Below are 23,043 nucleotides of genomic sequence, written 5' to 3' on the forward strand. Positions count from 1 at the left end.
TTAAACTTCTAATCTCCCCAGAATTGAACTTAATGAGCTATCCCCTGTCACTCAGAACTTGTTTGGAGGAACTAGAAAACCATGCAGATTCTCAGCATTTTTTATTCACGATTTTAAAGGCAAATCTGGATGTGGCATTACACCGAGGTGTTTTTAGCTTTCCTGAATGTCCTAATTGACATCAAATTTTTATGAAAACATTCCAAAACCTATGATTATTATTACTCTGACCACTGTTTATATTTGAGTGCTGAGCAGAAAAAGAAGAATCACCAAAGCTTTTCTATTTAGTCATCTTCTAGACAAACCATATGAAAAAATAGGGAAGTGCTTCATTCGCAGAGGTTCCTTGGCCCTCAGCCAACTGTGAAGTCCCCAGTCACAGCCACCCTGAGCCTCTCTGTGGGAAGGGACTTTCAGCCCAGGAAAGAATGAGTTCCTGCTGGTGACCTGCCAGGTGCAGATGGTTGAGTCCACTGTACACATCTGGTTGGGGGTTTCCAAGGTGCTGGCTGGTGGAGCCCTTATGCATGCGAGGGGGTGAATGGTGGAGATTTCTGGATCCCTGCCCAGGAAGCCTCCCAGGTAGCAAATTAACATCAGCCATATTATGCTGGCCACTTTTTTCTCTCTGGTGTTTAAACTCTAGATCTCCAAAGTCAGGCACACACAAGATAACCCAGTGTGGTACAGGAAAAATACAGACCATTGGACTAGAACAGTTCCATTCTCATACATTTGATAATGGACTTAACATGTAAGTATACATGCACCCACTTTATGAATAAATATGCGTAAGTCTGTGTTATGATTAGTCTCTTTTACCATTGAGGTCATGTGCTCAAACAAGTTTAGAGACTCCTTTGTTAGCCAGTCACCATTAATATAGAACAGAAAAGATTAATTTTTGGTGGAATGGATGAAAATATTAAGAGGTTTCAAACTAAGTATCAATTTTATAATCAATTGTAGAGATTCCTTTGTTAGCCAGTCACCATTAATATAGAACAGAGAAGATTAATTTTTGGTGGAATGGATGAAAATGTTAAGAGGGCTTCAAACTAAGTATCAATTTTACAATCAAGTATGATAATCTTCCTTGCAGCATTGTATGGTATGTTGGTGTGAACTTGGTAGCCCTTGGGTTATTTCCTGCAGAAGTCTAAGGGTGTGAGATGTAACATTTTCCGTATATTGTTAGCCTCTGTATGTGCATAATAGAGTGAAGAACTTCCTGAAGGGGGTACAACACAGCTAGTGTTATCATTCTATATCCAAAAATGGCAGAGGGAGAAAGTCAAAGGGACCACCATTAATATTTTGCTGTTTCAGTATTCTTTCTATAAGTATTTGCATACATTTTTGGTTTACTAAATTATGATTATGTTGAACAGTGTTTTATAATCCAGTTTTTTTCACTGTGTATTTTTCCTTGTCAAAGGGTGAGAATAAGACAATAGATTCATGATTGTGAAGGTCATTTTCGGTGGTTCGACCTCTTAGTTCTGAGACTCAGCCCCTGGAAAGTCTGCCCTTGTTGCTTGCACTTGCTTTGTAAATCCAAAAACCCAACTGCTTTGCAGGCAGAACTACAGCCTCCACATGCACCATGATTCAGGTAGACCAGGAGTGCCTTCTCCTTTCTGTACTAAAAACACCTGAGAAAACCATATTGAGAGGAGAAGGCTTTGAAAGATGCATAGACTTGACCTGAACCTGGAAGTCCTCCCAGCCAGGTGGGACCTTAGGATCCCCAGGCTGAGCTGTAACCAGCTGTGCCAAGCAATGACCTACTTCTTCCAGTTCCAAGTTCTCCATCAAAAGAATTCTGACTGCTTCAGAGAAAATTCTTGTCCCTCTACCCCCACCACAGACATAGGCACTAGGTAATATTGACATGTGAAATAAACTTCCATGGGTATCCTTTGATTCCAACAAAACTAAGAACAAACATCTTGGATATGAAAATAAAGCATGAAGGTACTTAGTAACTGCCACCAGTATTAATAGGACACGATTAATGGGAACCACTAAGGGCCATGGCATAGACAAAGTAGGCTGCCCACCATGAGCAGTTCCCTGGCAGTCACCAAAATTCACCCCCTTTCCCACTCCAGCAGGCTCGTCGGAATGCAAGGGATGTGATTATATGGGTAGACTTGGCAATGATATTTTTAGAAGCCAATCTTATTCTTAAAATTTTAACACGTTATTACCTCTTATTAGTTTCAAGTTACTGTGTGATACAGCACTGTGCCTAAAAAATCTGGCTGTGAATGATATCTTCTGATTACTGGTGTCCACTGCTGATTCTCTGTAACCAGTGAAACCTGCTCCATCTCCATAGGGGAGGGCTTAGGACCTGGAGAAACCTTGCTAGATTTCTGCAACCTAGCTGGGGTCCAAAAGTATTGTTAGCATCCACATTTTTTATATACCGTTCAGTTAACAGCATGGACATGTTTGTGGAAAGCTTCAGATGCCCATTCCTCTGTTAAGCATCAGGTTCCCCGGATCAAAGGGGTAGGAGGGTCTTATGCAGTCTTCAGAATGGTCTCTGGGTTCCACCTTTATTAACCAAGGGAGGCTTGTGGCGGGGGTCGAGGAGGTGAGCCAGCCACCACACAAGCAGTTTTAGACCCTGTGTGACTTCCTTAGTTATCTGTGGAATGCAGTTTGGCAGGAAGGTTCTGGCTTGCAAATAATTCAAGTTTTATCAGTCATCTCTAGTGGCCAGTCCCTCCATTTTAATCACTTTAGAGCAACCCAAGAGGTCTTTGGTGAATGGTCATTTCAGTTCTTTGTAAATACTTCTGAATTGGAACATTTCTGTATGAACAGCCCAGATAAACAAAGGGCCCAGTGTATTGGGTTTTGTTGGTATTTTTACCAAGTTTGTTGAGCCAGCCTTCTTCATACAAGTCCATTCTTGGAATTCTAAACATGACTAATGGCAGACTTCTGAATGCTACCTATAAGCACAAAGCTTTTGTAATTGACTTTCTTTAGCGGTGACCCTAGGCTTGTGGTCCAAAAGCTGTTGATGAGGAAATTGCTTTCTGGGTTTGGCCTGGGGGATTTTCCTTGTCACAGTAGGGTGTGCAGAAGTGAGTTGCTGCCTGAGATCAGTGTTAGGAGGTTTGAGGTTGCATCTGATTGATTAGTAATGTCTTCCATGGGCATAGGTGGGAGTGATGACCTGCTCTCAATCTGTCACCCCACAGGCAACCTACCAATATAAGGTCTTACCCCACCAACACTTGAAGCCAGCCACTGGGGACTTCACAGCACCTTGGTGAGGGGTCCTGTTAGTGAGGGACTTAACTGAGATTACCAAAAATGAACCTCTGACCTCTGAGCAATGTCTGGCCAAAGCATTTCTTCTTTCCCAAATGGAAGATGCCTTTTCTACCTTGGAGCCTGTTTGCCTGGGTTTTCAAGGTCATTTCAGTAGTGCAAAAACTCTGCAGTTCTGTGAAATGTCTTCCAGATCCAAGCACTGAGTTGATTGGTGTTCTGTAGGCAGAACTGTCGGGTTTGATCAGGGCTTCCCCCACAAACCTTTCTCCATCAAAGATAAGAACTTTAATACAGATTAAACCCCACAGCAGCAAATTCCAGGAGACTCTCTAGGTTCATCACTTGTATTAGAACATGATGGCATCAAAGTATTGACCGGGGCTTAGAGATGTTAAACAGAGATCTTCTGGTAATAGTTTTTATAAGAGGATTTGATTTGGGGATAAAATTGATGATTTTGGCCAACTTGTGTCTTTGCTCTAACTTCTTTAAAACTAGAGTAAATAAGTAGATATTTTTATTTTATTTCCTTGTAATAAATATTTTTACATATCATTATATAAAGTCCCTTTTGGCTCTTGTCAGATTTTTCCTGCTTTTAAAGGAATTTTATCTATAATTTTATTCAATGTTATTTTTCAGTCTTCACACTTTAAGGATGACTTAACTCTTACAGGTTGGAATGCTTAATCCAATTTCAAATATCAACTTTAGTCCACTCAGAAATCAACGTGTCATTCAACCACTGAGATTCACATGTGAAAATGTAAGAGCTAACGGTGGAAGGGCGTCTGTCTACATGTGCGCTCTGTGGACCACGCTAAGTGGAGATTACCGGAGTGTAGAGAAGAGAGCATTTGGTGGGGACATTGGCACCCTCTGGGCATTTTTACATTTCTGTGACATCCGCACTGCCGCATGTCACAGAGGGGCAGTCAGTCAGCACGAGGTGCTGCAGAACAGGCCATCCTGAGCAGAAAGCCAAAGTGGGCCCATTTGTTTCTTGGGACTTTCAAAGGGCACAGCCCCCACCTTTAGAAGTAAGTCGTTTGACTTGCTGGAACAATGGTGTGCAAAGAACCTCGCTGTTCAATCGGTGCAGTGCGATGCCAGGGGCTCAGCTGACTTAAGCACTGTTGAGCTGCAGCCCTGACACCACTGTCTGTCTTCTGTCCCTCTCTGCCGGCCTCTCCCCAAGCTGAGCGCAGTGTCCTGCACCTGGTGAGGCCTCAATACATTTTTGTTGAATTGAAATGGGTCCTTCATTGCTGGTCCTTATATCCCTACCCCGGGTTGGGACCATCACAAAGGGCCTTCCATGGTGCCATTGACGGCTCTGAATCAGTCATTAACACATCCTCAGACATCTCCAGTATTGATGTGGCTGCTCACTCCACCCCTCGCCAGTCAGCACATCTGCACTGTCACTGGTACAAAGGACAGAGCCAAGGAGGCCCTGGTGGGAGCCTGATATAATTCCCCAACAAACCCTTCACTGTCTGCACAACGCTGCTGATGCAACAAGCTCCACGCATCTGCGGCTGTGGAAATGTGTTTCGTCTTGAGCTTTAGGTCAGTGTTAATACATTTTTATTAATAAGCCGCTGCAGGGTGTGGGATATGAAATCAGCTTTAGAGCTGCATGGTATCTTATGGAGTTGCCTGGCTGATTCCCACCTTCATTTTACAGAGAAGCAAATGGAGGCGTGATCCAAAATGAAATTTGATTTTTTTAAAGGGGTGAAGACTGTGTCTTTTCTGAATTTCAAAGAAACCAAGTAAATGCAAACTGGACCCCGATGATAACACATTTAAAATCAATTGTTGAGCTCTTCTTTGCTCCAGGTAATAAGAGGAGGAGGGGGAAGATTCAGATTTGTGGGGGATGCCAGCCCATGTCAAGGGTCAGAGAAGCTGCGTGTCAGGTCTCAGCACAGATCGAAGAAGAAGCCGGGAGAGGAGGAGGGGCAGGAGCTGGAGAGAGGCCCATCAAGGAAAATGGCACAGCCTCCCCTTCCCCGGGACTTAGCTCTGAGTTTCACTGATGGGAACCCTTGGGTTTAATTTATCAGTGGGTTCCTAATCCCTCCCTACCCCAAGACAGCAAAGGAAATGGTGACCACAGGACACCCACAGAGGGAGAAACTGGAGACCTCTGTTTATCCAAATGAGTTTAGTCTGCAATTAAATGTTTTCAGGCCAAAACTTCTGCCTTGTGGTTCAGGGTAACTGGGGCCCTGTGGGAGCTCCCTGTTTAAGATGGGCTTCAAGCAGCCACCATTCCTCCACTATCCCTTGGACCTGCATCACACATCCAGAGCAGTATCTGCCCAGCAAGGAGCCAATTCTCTATGGCCAGGTGCTCTAGAGACAGACAAGAAGTGTAGAGAGCAACTGCCTTGCAGCCCCACCAACCTGGTGAAAAACTACGAACACATTTCCTCTTTTACCATCTACTCCATCCCACTTTAATCAGTTCCCCAGCCACAAAGCCCTCCACCATGCTGGGGGACATTTAGGCGTTTTGCAGACCCATCCTGCCTAGGTCCCATGCCAGTTCTCTACCCTCACCCCTACCTGCCTGAGGGACCCTGCTGGTCCCTGGCTCATCCCCCTGCAAGGCCAAGACCACCAGCCTCCCTGGCACTGGTGCTGCTGCCACTGTGTGGCCTGGCGGGAGGGGAGAGGCTGTGCGTTCTTTGACTTAGACCACACTCCTCTAGCACAGCCAAGATCAGCCTGGCACATTTAAACCCAGATCAGCAGTGCAGCTGTTAAAAACAAGGGACTAGTAACAGATAAATGGAGAAGGAGACACCAGATATAGATCCTGCCCCTCCACAGGCACCACCCACTGAGCACCTCTGCCCACTGCTGCCCTCCCAACAGGTGGAGGATACCTATCTTCCTTTCTTCCCCAACTGGAGGAATGACCAGCCTCTGAGACACTAGCTTTCCCCAGCCCAGAAGCCTGCCCTTCAAGTACTCACTTTCTGCACCAGCTCTGGCAGTATGAAGTTATATGCCCTCCAAGAAATACCCCACTCCTGATACGAGGGCTGGCCTTGTCTTCATTCCCTTACTAGCACAGCACCACTGGCATACAGCACGTTGCTATATGAAGGACCTTTTGGCACAAGAACTCTGCCATCAATCTCACTGGCTGTCGCTTTCCAATCTCCCCCTTCTAAGGTTGACTTAGCTCTTGGGTGGCCAGTGTATTCCCCAAGTCTGGGTCATTTGACAGAATAGCGTACGCGTGCATGCAGTATCCAGAGTCCGGGCCTCCTGGAAGGAACTTCAGCCAGTGCAGGGCTTGGTTTGCTACCCTTCCCAGGGTCCTCAGGGTTTCCACTCTTAACCGTATGGCCAGTTGCCTCAACGAGGAAATACACCTGTCCATGCACACAGCTGAATCCCTGCACTAGAGCCAGCAATAGTGGTCTACAGCATAGCCCCAGCCACGTTCCTGTAAAGGAAACAAATGCAACTCACAGCCCAGATAAGATCTTAAATTAATAAAAAGGCACCTGCTGTCATACGCTAGTTTTTTTAATCACATAGATTAAAATATTCCAAATTCCAGCAGCCTTTTCTTTAAGGGTGTTGACCTGATTCTAGAACCTGACCCCAGGCTCTTCTTCATCCTGGCCGCACTAGAGGTGAACTTTCTTCTGCCTGATGAGAAATGCTCTCAGAGAGGCCATGCCCCTTATTACACAGTGAATAGGAGGCAAAGTCAGGATTGAATGCAGGACACTGATTTTCTTTCACAGTTGGGCAGATGTTTTTCAAAATAAGGAAATTATTTGCCCCAAAGATCCTTCCACTGACATCCAACCTTGGAGCCATTTGGAAGCCGAGAGGTGACCTGATGAAGTGTCTGAAAAGAGAAGCTCGAAGTCCAGCCAAGCTTGGTTTGAAGCCTGACTCCAGGTTTTACCAGTTGTGGGACTACTGGCAAGTTTTTTAACTTTTCTAGCCCATTTTCTGCTTTGTGCCTTATCTGTACAAGTGAGACAGTAATACCTCCTCTTGGGGATCATGGCAATTAGAGATAGTAAAGATAAGGCGCCCGGCAGTGCATGGCACGTGGTAGGTGCTCTCGATGGTAGCCACCTCTCCCACCCCTGCGTTTTAATATTTGGATCTGGACTTAGACGAATATTTTGATTCAATGTAATGCTTTTGTGTGAGTGAAAGTACAAGTTAATAAGTCAAGGCTAAGGGAATCTAAGCCAAAATTGAGTGTCCGGACACAGGACTCACCTTCATATAGAAGCTGACCTGTTCTAACTCTCCTGACTGAGGGATTCAGGTCCTTGCACCACCACTACCCTCACCTGCAGAACAACCCCAGAACCCTGTTTGTTTATTTTTTTACCTCCTTGGAATAAGCTCACATTTGCTCCATGACACTCACCAGCAAGAAATTCATTGTGTTTTTTCTAAATTAAACACATGAGCATTTGTTTCTTATTAAATAATATAATAAAGAGGACCTTCGATGACAGGGCTCACAAAACATCATGACTGGGCCAAGTAAAAAAAATTAAAAATACATGTGACTTCATGCCTCTGCTGACATGTCATCTTGAGAGGATGACATCCATCTTGATGAGACCGTACAAGTCCTGGAGGGCAGACCAGAACCTCTGAGAAGGGCCCTCATGGTCACTGCAGGGTTGCATACCATCTCAAGGCGATAATCCAGTGACGTACACAGCATCTCTGGCTGCCATGCTGTCCTTCCCTGCCTGGTCAGGCCCCAGGACCTGCCCACTAGCTCCTGTGGCAACAGCCTATAGAGTTCAGTCTCCAGCTCCCCAGAGCTTCTCCAGGAGTGCCAGGGAGCAGAGCCCAAGCCTCCTCCAATTACAGATCCCTTCTCCCAGGCTCCACTTTGCCTGTTCAAGCCTTTGAGATGCCGCCTCCCTTACCTAGCTAGCTCTTTCCCTGTTGGATTGGAAAACATAACCAATAGAAACCTCTTAACCTGTCTCTGGATGCCAAAGTCCCTGGTCTTCTTGCTTCCCAGCTCGCCCCCAGGAGAGGGGAGCAAGAAACCCCTCTCATGCTTTAATAATCTTCCTGCTGGCCAAGATGAGGCAGCCGAGTTAATACTTTAATTCAGGCATCCTGCCACGTGGGTTTGCCACATCTGCCCTGTGAGAGTGTAAGTCTCCAGAGGGCAGGGACAAGGTCTTATTTTCTTTTCTTCCTATCAGCTCATCACATTTTATCAGGTTTCACACGCCTCTTTGACCGGTAGCCCCGGTGTCTTCATATGCCCATGCACAGAAACCTTCACGTTGTGTCCCTATAAGAATCACTCCCATTTTTCCAGCGAAGCTTCACGTCCCTGGGAGAAAGGTAGACAGTAGGCAGCAGAGAGCAGATTTAGACATGACAGTGGCCCAGGGTCCAGCTTGGAGCCATCTGACCCCAACCCTAGAGTAAGTGAAGGGGACCCTCAATGCTGAGGATCAAAGCTGGGGTGCTGAGAGTTTTAAGGGCAAATCCAAGATTTTGTAGATTGAAGCTGTTGAGGAGCCCAGGAAAACGATCCAGTGTTTCCCATGGTCATGTCTCCAGCTCCCTGCTGTCACGTCCCGTAGATGTGGGAGATGGTGAGCATGGGGGTGAGATCCCACATGGACGGGGGCCTGGACACCAGGCAAGAACAAAGAGCATTGGCAAGGAAAAGCAATTTGATTACCAGACAGTTCTGTTTAAACAGGATGGGGTAGGATATCAAGCGGGGGAAAAATCAGTGCCCGGAAGGAAGAAGGGATTTAAAAATAAAAGAAGTGACATTAAATCCAGAGAAGTAACCCTGCCTTCCTTTTTCAGTAAAGTGTTGCTTTTAAAAATCTGGATCTAACACAGAGAAGGCAAATGGATCCTTCTCTACATAGCACTTAGGGCAGCTACTGCGGATTGATTGAGCTTGGCATCTGAGATGAAATTTGAGGCCTAATCAACGCTCAGCAAGAGTCTTATAACTGATTATTAATGTCTGCCAAGGGCACGAAAAGGAGGAGGATTTAATCAAGTACTATGCATTTGCCATCTTTCCTAACCAGTATTTTTCAAATTCTCCCATCAGTTCCCAGTTACCCCGAAATATTTTCATTAAAAAAAAAAAAAAAAAAGGAAAGCATAGCTGGCTCTACTAAAGCTGCAGTTAATTAACCTGGCCATTCATTTAATCATTTATTCATTGATTCAAAAAGTTATTGCAGGTTTGGGCACTGTGGCTCATGTCTATAAACCCAGTACTTTGGGAGGCCCTGGCAGAAGGCTCACTTGAGCCCAGGACGTCAAGACCAGCCTGGGCAACAGAGTGAGACCCCATCTCTACAAAAAATAATTTAAAAAAATAGCCAGGCATGGTGGTGCACACCTGTATTCTCAGGTACTCGGAAGGCTAAGGCAGGAGGAACACTTGAGCTCAGGAGGTCAAGGCTGCAGTGAGCCATGATTATGCCACTGCCCTTCAGCCTGGGCGACAGAGTGAGACCCTGTCTCAAAAAAATAGTTATTGCATGTTGCCTGTACAAAAAATGCCAGGTGACTGTGTTGGAGAATGCTGAAAAGAAAATACTTGCTGCTTCAAACACCTTACCGTCTAAATCAAGAGATAGAATATGAAATATAATTGATTACAACACAAGAAACCACTAATGATAATACAAGACAATCTAAAATAAGCATGAGATTAAGTTTCTCAGTGCTGTAGATATTTTTCAGTACCTGATGGGTACTTTTAAAGTGTTGTTTGCTTTTGTTCTTTGTTTTGTAAAGTTTTGAAAGCATATAGTCCTTTTCCCTCAAATGGCACAAAAGGTAATATTTTTGATAAAGGAAGAAGGCAAGAAAAGTTTCTGACAGGTCAAGAAAATTAAGTAAATATATAGGCCTTTGACAAAGGCTGCAAATAGAACCACAGAGTGTATCATTTCTTTCTTTGAATGATACTTTATTGTCATTTTTGACATATGGATGGTTTTTCTGAAATTGAGTTGTTTTGAGACAGTATTCTGTGAACCATAACCTGGGGATAGACTCTCTACATTCTTTTGGCTAATCATCTCATTTTTTTAAACAAGTGGTCAAGTGGTATTTACCCAATTGCAGTATCCTAAGATAGAATACCCTCTGGTTGTTTAAGAATTAATGAGATGAGCTAAACATTCCATTGAAAAGCATGTGTTTATGTAAGAAAACCAAGTTACTTTATGAAGTAAATTGTGGTCTTTTATCACTTTTCCTCTCTTCGGTCTCTGGAAAAGAAGCCAAGCAGATTGATTCAGCCAAGAGTCCAGCCAGGGCTGGGAATAGCCTTTTTGGAATATATCTTGCATTTCCCCGCTTTGTACGTGCAATCTGTAGTGTGAGGTAAAAGTTTGGTGGTTTTATTTTGCATAGACCCCCTACGGTCGTGGCGGTGGGGTTCCTGTGAGATAGTTGCACACCTCAGAGTGCTCTGTGGAGACTCTATGGATAAATAGCAGGGAATGGGGGTTTCTAGGGCTCAGGACCCTGGGCTTCCACTCCCAGCCCTTATTGTGAGCCTCAGGGTCCCTGCCAGACCCTTTATGGAGCTATGGCTTGAAAATGGAGGCATCAGGACCGACTTGCAGGTAGCGAGGGGGAGGGTGTGTGGCTGAGGAGAGAACAGGCGGTGAGCATGCCTGATAGCCTCTTTCTTGCTGGGAAGCCGGGAATATTAATAGCATCATCACATTAATCTAAAAATAAGGTCTGTAAAGTCCTGACACTCCCTGAAGACAGGCCCTGCTTCCTTAATCCTCCCAGATCTTTCCAGGTCAGAGCAGCACACTACCCTTCCCCCTGGAGGCAAGAGGACCAGTTTCCCCAGGCTGCCGGCGCGGGTCTCCCATCTGTGGCTGGGAGAGGCCAGGCTTCTGAGTTGGGTTCTCAGCTTCCTTTGCTTTTAAAATGGCCTCCTGTGCTCCTGTTTCCTGTGTGGCCCCACAGGCATCCTTATTTTGAGCTCTCTTTTGGTCTGTATTCTTAAGCCCCACAGCACTTGGTGATGCCATGTTATTTTAACTGCCAGACTTTGGCCTCTTGTCTGTCACTTGACCCTCACCTCAGCGCTGGGGTGTGCAGGGCACAGGGGAGAAGCCACCTGCCTGCCACCTAGGAGGCCCAAATGGAGACATGGCTTGACCGAGGTCCTTCTGTTTCCTGTGTATTTTCTGCCCTAACCCCACCCGGCCCCCACAACCCATCATGCCATAAGTCCCAGCCACCCACCCTCAACCTGTCCCTGGTGGACACTCCTTTTGCTGCCTTGCTTTCGGGAGCCCAAGTCTTGTGAATTCTACCTTTAAAAGTCTCTCAGTGCTGACCAGTCCTTTTCACCCCCATCGCCCTCACCCTCCTCTCTCCACCCCCAGAGTCAACCTTCCACACTAGGGCCAGTCACTTCCCCCACAGAAGGCATTTTATGCCAGCCACCTCCAAAGGGGATCAGGCTGGCCACTCCACAGCTTCCAGTGTCCACCCCATTGGGTGCTGACAGTCCTCAGATATGCCCCACACGGGCCCATCGTGGGCCAGCACTGGCCATCCTGGACACCTGAAGACCCTCCCCATCCCTCTCCTATTCCCTCCCCTCTCCCCACCGAGTCGTTCTATAAGGCCCAGATACCTCCTTCACTGCTGGGCTCTCCTTAATTTCTTCTGCTTGAAAGAATTCCTCCTCTGTATTCCCTGATGTTCGGTACCTCTCTTGTGTCCATCACCATACCCTGAAGTTTCGTATACTTGCCTTCCTCCCTCTCGAGGTCATCAGCCTCTTAAGGGGAGCAGTCATTACTTGTTCTTCCCCAAGTGTTTGTGGAATGGAGTTGAATGTGTTCTGTCGGGTGGGCTTCCCACCTCTGTGCCAGGAACGTGAATGGCTTCAGGCTTCTTAGGTCAGGGTGACTTCATGGGGTATTTTTAAATGACTTGAAAATTTGGGAAGCGACCTTACATGGTCAATTATTAAAGGAGAGGTAGGAAATCGAGTTGCTTTTTCATCACATTTTGCTTTGCCATTTCTGAAGAGTTCTGTTGTGGTGTCCCTGGAAGGGCCCTGGGTCAGGCACACCCCCAATGCCAGGGGCTTCATGAAGGCTGGCCAGCATCCCCAGTGTCCCAACTCAGCCCAACCTGTCTGTTGTCCCATCCTAAGTTCTGTATGCTCCTCCTTGCTTCTGTCCCACTGCCAGCATGCCCTCTCCAGGGGCATTGTGGGTCCAGTTCTAAGGCATGGCTGTCCTTCTGAGGAGGAGGTCCTCATTCATTTAAAGGGAGTGAAATGGGAGCTCAGAAGTCAGAGGAAGCTATTCGTTCCCAGGGAAGTATTTTAAGGCAGGCAGGTGTGTTGTTTTTGTTGTTTTTAAGTGAGACAAATGTGCTTTTCAAAAGACTCCGTGTGTGTGCTTACACCCCTGAGTCTGCTTGAACATCTAACACCTACCAGCTCCCTGACAAGAACATTCGTGGCAGATAAAAGGCATTAAAAAGTCCTAAGAGTGAAGCAGGATGAGTCACAGAGAGAGTGAGCCTGCCAGAGCCTTTGAGAGCAGCGGGTTGCAAAGCTTGAGTCTCGGTTCCTCGTTTGCTCCGCCTTGTGCCAAGCTCATGGGTGGGTGTGATCCCCTCCCTTGCTCGGGCCCCTACACCTACACACCTCCCACCACCTGCAGAGCTCTCCGGCCCACGGCACGCCCTGCTGGGCTCACCTGGTGCCTGAGGGTTTTGCTTGCCAGCTGGGGCTGTGGGAACCAGCCGTGGGCTGCTTTTGCCCTACACGAGGAGACGATGAGACTGAGCTGAGAGTCACTGTTTGTCACCCTGAGGCATTCATCACAGCACAAGAAAGCAGCAGGGCGGTGTCCCCTTCTCCCCCAACACTCCCCCCCTCCCCACCCCCGACTGGAGAGATGAGAAAAGTGCTTGCAAAACGGCTGAGAAAATTTGCAACAGAGGCTCACGGGGAAGAGTGGGCTCAAAGCACCAGTGGCAGGCAGCACCTATTCTCATCTACACACAGCCCCTCCAGTCCCTAGCACCAGGCAATCACCTCACCCAGCTGCACCCTCCTTGACTTTCAGTATTGGGTGCCTCTTTACACCCAAAAGGAGGGAGGAGGACATGCCCCGTCCTTTGTGGAGCTGGGTATCGTTGTGGCAGAAGTTGGGAATTTTTGCAGAGCCTGCTGCTTTTTGAGGTCTTTCTGTAGTTCTCAGAGCAGATTTAAGAAATGTGGGTTCACCAGTGAGATTGGAAGGAGAAGGGGAATGCCATCGTTTGTGGGGGAGGTGAATGCCTAGAGATTTGGTGGGAGATGTATTTGGAGAGTAATGAGAATGAGTAACTTGATGGGGGTTGACGCAGTTGGGGAGTCTTGGAACCTGCTGACCCAAGGTGCCTGAGAGGGCTACTGACCACACCTGTTGTCTGTGTGTATCCACTCCTCATTAGAGCCCATTGCCAGTTTTGCCAGGGGTTTTAATTCAAGGGAAGTTCTGAACCACAGGCTTGTCTTTCCCTCAAGTCTAGTGGGTACACATGGCTCACAGCTGTACAGACACACCTGTGGCCATCGAGAGGACAGAAACTTCACAGACCTTCAGTTACGTGTGCCCCATTCTTACTGAAGCAAAAGCTGTTGAGGCGATGGGCCCAGCCGAGGCCTTGATCTGGAAGTGCTTTGGGGTGTACCCTACATGTGTTAAGGGGGCATACCTGGTGTACCTGGCAGCTGTGTTCCCCATGCTATTTTGTATTCTGAGGTCAGGCTCCTCTGAAGAACCACTAACTGCCTTTGGATGGGTTTTAGGACCTTTAGTCATGGGTCAGACTGTTGAGCCTCCATGGTTGTGAGAATTCCAGGGCTCTAGGCTGGGTCCTGTGTGCATCAGGCTGTGGTTCTGAAATTTAATCAAACATGGTAAGCAGCTCCCTTTACCCTTTTGAGTCACAGTGCTGACTATTGCAAAGAAATGTACAAATCAAAATGTGTTTGCATTTTATTTATGCAGAAGCAGGAGATGGCAAATTTTAAACCCTATTTTCAATCAAACCTGGAAAAAAAATGTTAAGATTTGAGTAACTAGTTGGAACCTTGCTGCCTCTCTTTTCACTTCAATATAGGTCTGTTTCTTCCTGATTACTGGACTCAATAAGAGAACGAAATGTTATGTAGTCAGCAAATAGAGTTCATGTTACCTATTAGACCGTAATAGCTCCACCGGACATGCAGAAATGGAACTTGATTTATTACAAAACTTGAAAGAAAGAATCAAAAAGGGAGGAAAAGAAAGAAAAGCAAAGAAACTAGCCACAGATCTGCCTCATCAAACAGCCAATCAGTGTGCCCAGCAGCATAAAAACAGCACATCCTGCAGCCAGCTGGCAACAGAGGGGGAAGCAGCCTCCCCTACCTGGTTGTTCATTTGACAGGAGCCTCGGGAACTGCATTCATTATTTGGGTCTCAAACAAGGGGTGTCGTTTGTAGAAAGGATTTTATTTTTTAACCGCTTTTTCAGGTATGGTGTTCTTAACACCATACTGTGGTTTACCCAGGAAGTTAATTGCTTTATTCTTTTACATTGACCTTGAGAGGATTTTATATCTGAGAAAAGTGACATTTTGGTTTTCTAATTTAGAAGCACAAAGGAAGTTGAGAGAGACAGTGTATGAGCCTGATTCACACTTTGGGGAAAATTGCTCCGGTTAAATTATACACTCTTGGAACTGGGAGCAAAGATAACATTCTTAGACTTAGGCGTTAAATATGATTAATGGGACAACAGGGATAACGTCGATGCCCCTTCGTGTGGACAGCCGGCTTGCGTTTCATCCCTGAAAACTTGTGTGGTTGAAGGGCTTGAGTACACACCAGAGAAGGTGTGCTCACTTACAATTCTGACTTCTCCGGCAGTCACGAGCAGTAATAGTAACCCTTTGCCTACAGTTTCATAACGCGCTGTTTTAGCAAAGGAGGACCCTTCCCCCAAGAAACACGCTAGTAGAAATGCCAGCCCTTGGGGGAGGAGGGTCACCGTGAGATGAATTCACAATGTATACGTATCCCAAAACATTATGTTGTGCATCATCAATATGTACAGTTTTTACTTATCAACAAAAAATAAATAATGAGGAAAAAATCATGCTGGCAGCTTTTAAAAGGATAGCCAGTTTGGCTTGGTGTGTTAAGCTGACAGGTTGCTTCCTGTTGGATCCCACTCACCCCTGGGCTGAGGCAGGGGCTGGTAGCTTATGATGCCAGCACAGGCTTCCAGGACACATTTTGACAATGCTTTTGAGTAGTCTTACATCTCAGTGGGAAGACCCGGAGTTCTTACTCAGCTGACAGAGAAAGCCACATGTAAAACTCAATCATTTTGGAATAATGATGGAAGGACAAGGGTAATCTATGGCTGTCACCTTCTACTCCTCTGGGGAATATGTGATGTCTTCGTCTCCTCAAAGAAGAATAAAAGATGGGGGCAGGACTTCCCCAGGGGTTAGTGTGGTGGCAGGTGCCACCCCATACACTTTCTATATTATTAAGGAGCTTCTGCAGCAATCCGAAAGGCAAAACAAAGTTGAAAGTAATTTATCTTCTTATCCATATCAAGATCAGGGTAATATTTGTGTGTGTTTTTATATACTTGAAGTAAAAATTAGAATAGTCAATTAACCCTATTGGGAATTTTAATACTTTCATTTAAAAAATACTTTCTTCACTCTTTTCTTTGAAAAGCACCACAAATTACTGCTTAATTTTGGATTCTTTCCTAGATTTTAATGTACCTTCTAGGCATTAAAACAGGAATATATCTGATATCCATCTGACATTTAGAAATTACATTTACTGGTGTAACTTTCATTCTTCATTATTACTGTTATTGCTCTAATTGCCAGCACCCATTGTTCATTCATTGTGGTGTGAAAAACAAAATTGATGAAAGTTTATTTTTCTCTCCATATCCAGACCTGCCCTCTCTATCTGCCAGTTCTATCAGCAAAACACTTTGGGTAGGTCTTGTTTGTTTTAATCCCTTCAAACTGCTGGTTCCTGCCCAGTAACTCCCGAGCTGGCTTTCAGGTGCTTCTCTGCCAAAATATGCTGACTGCATCCCTGAAAATTGATCGTGTGTTAAGAACTGCTGAGAGGCTCAGCCACGTCTGGGGCCAAGTCATCATAGCCAGGTCCACGGCAAGGGAGAGCCCTCCCGACAGGCAGCGCTGCCCTGGACGCAGGAGGTCTGAGACAGGGAATATGCGCATGGGAGGTGGTAAGAGAATTAGAAGGTGCAGAGATGGGGGATATGAGGAGACGGGTAGCAGTGGGGACAGAGTGAGAACAGAAGCAGGGAGATGTGTGGAAACTGGTGGAAAAAAAGAAGCAGCAAACCAGAAAAATGGCTGATAGGATGTTGATAATATCGCAGGAATGTTTTTAAAGGCCTATTTTCCAAAAATGAATATGGGGGAAACTGAGAAATGAGGATACCAGATAAGTTCCACCTGCAGAGGCCTAGAAAGGTTGGCAGATCCATGTGGGGCAGTCACAGGTGCTGAGAAAGAGGGGCGGTTTTGCAAGGTGTGGGAAGCTGAGTGGGATGCAACTCCTGGAATTGGGGGTGACAGCCCAGAGAGTGCTGGCTGAATGAATATTCGGCTGAATCTGCTTTTTTAGCTGACCTGTTGGAATGCCTAAAGCCCAACTGCCAAGCACTCGCTCTGCACATTATCTTGAGTCCCCTTTGTGATAGTAGTGCCCTCTGCCTCTGGCTCCCCAGGCACTCACTTTCCTCTAGGGAGACAGGCAGGGAGTAGGTGGGTACAGGACAGCTGTGGTATGGGAATAGGGTACCTCGGGGCTGCAGGAGCACTAAGGGAGAGGCATCACCAGCCTTCCAGGTTAGGCAGTGCTGTTCAAGCCAACACTGGAGGAGGGGGAGAGGGAGCTGCAGCACGAGCTCTTAGTTGTATAAAATTGAAAGTGGGTAGGCTGAGGAGGGGTGGAATCACAGAACCTAAGAGAATTCAAAGGAGGGTAGCAGCCTATCTTTCCCAAGTGGCATAGTCTGTTTTTTTTTAATCCAACTATTTTTTAAATTGTACTGGGCATATGGTACCTTCCAAGACCAAGAGACAGCCAGATGGAGTTGAGAGGGATCATGAAACCTGTTTTGTTCTAGCAACTCTAGGGCTGCAAATATTGTTCAGCCTCCACTCCCTAAGGCTACGGGAGCTCATAGTGGTGTGAATTCCCAAGGGTTCGTGCGGGCACCACTGTGTCCCCTCAGGCAAACCACTGGTCTCTCCATGCAGTTGCATCCTTTAACACCCAAATAGAAATTATCCATTCCTTGGTCATAGTAGAATGAAATGAAAGCACTATGGAAAGGGGAAGGCTGTCCACCATTGAGGGAATTCCTGGAAATGGCACACTCTTGGTTCATGGCTCAGAGATGAGCTCCAATGAGCATTCACCATTACTGTCACTACGGTCCCACATCAGCAATGACCCAGGGGTGCAAAGTGCCTGCACCGCAGACACTGTCTCTCCCCAACCTTATGATGCAGGTCAGTCAATAAGTTCCTTGCAGTCAGATCTGGGGCTGGGGGATGGGGGGATGCATTGTCATGGCTGCCAACGAAGAGGAACGAGAGAAAGAGGAGTAGAAGGATTCGTAGAAAGATGGATGGAGGGATGGATAAGTGTAGGGGAGGCAATCTTAGTTTCCTCATCTTAGTTTCTGCAACTGGATCCCTGTAAATTAAACTGGCAAATGACAGTTTCACAACTTATTCAAAAAATAAAGACATTTATTAACATATGTATTGTTGGTGTACACATGGGTGCACCCAGTGATGAGTAACCAGAGGGATGGTCAGAACTTGGGTTTATAAAACATCTTAGGCTAAAGGAAAAGGGGCTTATGGATTCTGGGCTGGGAACACTAGACTAAAGAGGGAAGGTAAGAATAAGCCTTTAATTACTTGAATGCCCAGCAGCAGTGGTAAGGACCCTATACATGAGCATATAAAGTAACTCCTCTCCCTTACCAGGAAGAGGAAGACATCTTTTACAAATGGAAACTTTCCTTGTGAGTGTAAATTTACTTTACAGAAGAAAACCTTGTGCCCTGTTTTTGGAGCTTTGCCTGCGTCGGCTGTTTCTCAATGGCCTTTAGCTCAAAATCATCCATGTGCCAAAGAAACATATTTTGGGGTGGCATATTCTGCTGCCCTTCAGATGGAAGGAAGGATGATCTTGTATCCATAGTCCAACTTCTAGTTGAGCTTTTGCTCTTCCTCCTCCCCGTAGCAATATAGAGAATCAGTGTAAGATTTGGCTTCTTTTTAAAAAAAAATTCAACAACAATTTGCCAAGTCCCTGTTGTATCTCTGGTACACACTCCTCCCCTCAAGGAGTTCATGACTAAAAAGGAAAAGTAAGAATAACCCTTCAATTACTTGAATGCCCAGCCACAGTGGTAAGGACCCTATATAAGGGCATATAAAGTAAACTAGAAGTCCCAAGGAAGGTGTCATGACTGCCAGCTGGGAGCTGACCTTGCAGGATGAGGAGGAACTGAGGATACAGATAGCCCTGCATGGAGATGCCTGCCCATCCCTGTGGGAAACTGCAAATGGTTCCTTTTGGTTTGTGTATAGTTTACTTCGAAGTGGGGGTGGGGTGTGGAGCTGGCAGAAATAAACTGGAAAATGTAGGTCAGGACCTTATTATGAACATCCCTAAATACCAGTCTAAGAAACATGGACTTTTTTCTGTTGAATGTGGAGTAATTGTATACATACTTTGGAACACTGTGCTGCAATTAGCATATGTACCAACATGAATCGACTTCTGAGACCTGTGGTTTAATGAAAAATGTGAGTTGCAAAAAATATGCCCAGTATAATATCATCAGCGAAAAAATACTCTACAAAACAGTTCTATGTGTTTGCGTGTTTTCTGTGGGTCTGAAAGGACCCACACCAGACTGCTAACAGCAGTTACCTTTGGGGCGAAAAGAAAGAACTAGGGTTTGGGAGTGAGGAGTATTGAAGGGGGATGTCAGCATTTTTGGAAATCTTTTAGTTTTATTTTAACAAGGAAATGTTATCTTGCCATTAAACTGTAATTTTAAAATTCAAAAGATAATGGAGTCATTGGCTTAATTCCTGTTCTAAAATTTTCAATTAGAGCTTGCACATTCTGAGAATTGGGAAGATAGTCTCAAACCAAACAAAATCCAGGGATTAAAAAAAAAAGTCCCCACCTCCCCGACTCAGAGCCTGCAGAGAGAAGGAACTCTTTGGACTGCTTTTCTCCCAGGCCTGAATGGCCTTATTTGTTTCGTTCATTGATAATCAGTTTCAGGTGATGAGGGATGCTCTTGACCCACGTTGACCTTGCAGCAGCATTCTGCATTCCTGCCCATGACTGGATTCCACCCTGTGGCGGTGGCTGGCTCCGGGCAGCGGTGGTGAGTATGTTTTTCTCTTTCCTGGCACCAGGATCATTTTCTTGGAGAGTCTCTGTGGACGTTGGCAAATAGTTTTGGCCTTCTTCCAAGAGATTGGGTTTATACCAGTCTAAATGAGGCAGGCATTTAATCAGTCACCCAGGGAACAGGCTTGAGGCCCTCTGGTGTCTTCTTTATAATTAATTTTTAACATTTGTTTTCAGTATAAAATTTGGGCCTTTATCCTCTTTGAAATAAAAACATAGCATGCATATTAGACTGTATTGGCACTAAACTTCACACACCATTCTTTTATTCCCTTCCAACTATTAACTCCTATTAAGCAAGACAGAGGGATAATAAGATCCCCCTGCACTCCCCCGCCTTGCTGGCTTGTGTGATGCTTCATCCTCTGTAATTGCCTTCGGTGGCCAGGCTCTTTCCTATCATTAGTGTGCTTCAGAGGCTCCTTGTCAGGGCCCCGGCCACCTCCCAAGCTGCCATGCACCCCTTTTGCCATGCAGCCCTTTAATGCTACGGCCTTTCCCCAGCCCAACCACTGGGAGGCCCTGGTCCACTAAAGTTCTTGTTAACAAGACACAGGGGGTATTTCTGGATTTTTAACCCTGGAACTTACACTGGAACTGCTGCAGATGATTTCCTGTTTGTTCATTTGATTGACCTGCTCTTACGTCCTGAGAGCCCAGGCCTGGGTCAAAGGAACCCGAAACATCACAGTGGTTCTCGAACCTAGATCTATATAAACAACACTGAGAATGCTGACTAGAAGCGCAGATTCTGAGGCTTCTCCTCAGACCTACTGAGTTGGAATCTTTAGGACAAATGGAAAATTAACTGGCAACTTTTTGTTAAGCTGTGTAATTATTTGCAAGTCACTAAGTAAAGTGATCATTTTTCACTTTCTTTCAGAGAAGTTTCAGCACAAACTTATCTTTAACCTTCAATACCCTGGACTTTTTCTTAGGGCTGCTATGTACCCTTTGTGCAAATTAGAAACAGGAACCCTTCTTTCTGGACAGCAGCAGGCCACACAGAAGGCAAGACTAGGCCTGTGGGGCTCAGGATGCATTTCAGCCCCATTTACCTCCTTGGCCAGGAGTCTTTGTGCAGTTAACAACCTACACGGTTGCACATGGCAACCCTGCTTACTCTGTGCTCTGATGAACAAAATAGCTACCCTTGAGTACCTACATGTGTAAGCACAGGGTCAGCTTTTTCTTACGTAGTTATTATCTGTAACACCAACAGCAACTCTTAAGGATTTATGTTGAGAAAACTGAGGCTCAGAAAATTTGAAAATTTCCCTAAGATAACACAGTCAGAAAGAAGCAGAAGATTAAGACCCATACCAGGCTCTGATGTGGCAAGCAGTTGGCTGGATAGGAAATTATTTACAGTCAGTGCCTTACTTCTTCAACAAGACCATGGATAATTCCTTGTCCTCCTTCCCTCTGAGAAAACCATTAACTCCGGAGCCTACGAGAAGGTCCCTCAGGCCAAGAGTTAGCTGCCTGTCTTTGCTGCTGAGTGAGCAGAAGCCTCAGGCCTCCTGATGATGAATGAGTAAGTGTTTAGGAAGCACCAGGAGACCCGGGTGAAGGGCATGTGACATGGTAAAGCCTTAATGATTGTGTGTTTATTATTAGCAAAAGTTTCACTTTTTCCAGCCAGCCACCATGATTAAAAGTCCAGTTTCTCTTTTCATTTTGTGTAAGAATGTGAGCAAAGGGCTGAAAGTCAGAGAAGGATCATGAAATTGGAGTCAGTAAGGACTCCTTACTAAAGTTGTCCTGTCCTCTGGATTATCAGCTGTTTTCTGGAGTAAGGAGCTGCCCTGAGCAGAGCGCCAAATTGGCTGCCGATGAGGTTCGTGCTAGTTGCCACTTCTTCTCGGCACCTGTACCATCAGCCATGGCTGCGTTAGGAACCCGCTGGAACTCAGTGGCTTCCACAGCACTCAAGTGTTATCCCAGGGCTGCAGGGCAGCTAGGGCTCAGCTGGCCCAGGGTTGGGTGGGTCAGCTGAGTGGGTCTGCTTCTCATGGCTCTCATTCCCCATGGACTGGCAGGGTAGCAAGACAAGCTCTGCTCATAACAGCGGCAGAAGAGCATGAAGGCAAGTGAAAGCACTTGAGGTCCCTTAAGACCTAGGCCCCAGACTGGTACACCATCCATCTGCTGAACTCTATTGGCCAAAGCAAGTTCCGTGGCCAACCTAACGATGGAGCACAGAAGTAGGGTCCTCTCCCCTCTTTAGCAGGAGGAAGTGCAAAGGCACGTGGCAGAAGACAGAGATGAGGGTAAGAATTAGGGCCAGCAGTTCCCCCAGCACAGCCCCTCAACCTCCGAGGCTCGTTTGGTGGAAGCTTCCCCTCCTTGCAGGCAGCTGGAGAGCCTGGGGCCCCGTCCTCTGTACGCTGTCCTTATCAGTATTTTTCACAGGGCACAGAATTCAACCACCAGGTTGCTCACATTTTCAGAGAAAATCTGTCCCACATCAAATGTTTCTCATTCAATTCTCAAAAGCTCTTCTATGCTTTTTCCAAAAATGCCTCCCTCACACTCTGAGATCACAACCTAAGTTTTGCTCCCTTTCTTCATTTCTAATAAAATCTGAACTATGCAGATTGCCTTTCTCATAACCATGGTAGCTCGTTGTTGGCCCTTCCTTGAGTGGCGTTGGTCCTTCTCAGAGACAGAGGGCGGGGATCCCTAGCTGCCCTTGTGAGCGCATCATTAACTCTGGGAAGGGGCCACTGGCTTCACCATGATGCTTCTTTACCCCCCTCACCGAGAGAGCAGCGTCATCTCCCAGACTGTACCTTCCCAGGCCAAATGGCAGTTTTTTGAGGGGTCATCTAATCTGTCAGTTCCTAAAACTAGGTGGACATTAAAATCAGCTGGGACGTTGAATACAAATTCAGATGCCTGGGCCTGGACAACAGCAGGATGGGGCTGGAGGGTAAGCTCAGTTGGGAGCTGCTATCACTTTGCCTGCCGACCTATCTCCACTTGGAGTGACAGACTACTCCAGAAGCTAAGCCTCTTACTATCTGTTACCCAAATCAGTAAGACATGGTGGCATTACCAGTGTTATGCAAATGTCTTTTTTTTTTTTTTTTTTTTTTTTGAGACAGGGTCCGATTCTGTCACCCAGGCTGGAGTGCAGTGGCTCAATCTCAGCTCACTGCAACCTCTGCCTCCCAGG

At 46.1% G+C, this 23,043-nt stretch overlaps 1 long non-coding RNA gene across 4 annotated transcripts in view, besides 2 other annotated features; it reads left to right on the forward strand.

Annotated features, from left to right (window-relative positions):
* The window catches only part of LOC124909489 (uncharacterized), a 123,033-nt gene that overhangs the window by 46,302 nt on the left and 53,688 nt on the right, over nt 1–23,043 (forward strand). The window lies entirely within an intron of this gene.
* Nucleotides 350–589: an enhancer, noted in NCBI's record as "active region_19758". NCBI's record gives its function as "activates an Ori minimal core promoter by ATAC-STARR-seq in GM12878 lymphoblastoid cells {active_cell/tissue: GM12878}" and the evidence as "EXISTENCE:reporter gene assay evidence [ECO:0000049][PMID:35858748]".
* Nucleotides 12,761–13,210: an enhancer, noted in NCBI's record as "active region_19759". NCBI's record gives its function as "activates an Ori minimal core promoter by ATAC-STARR-seq in GM12878 lymphoblastoid cells {active_cell/tissue: GM12878}" and the evidence as "EXISTENCE:reporter gene assay evidence [ECO:0000049][PMID:35858748]".

The sequence above is a fragment of the Homo sapiens genome, chromosome 3 (assembly GCF_000001405.40).
Source record: "Homo sapiens chromosome 3, GRCh38.p14 Primary Assembly".
Taxonomy (NCBI): Eukaryota; Metazoa; Chordata; class Mammalia; order Primates; family Hominidae; genus Homo; species Homo sapiens.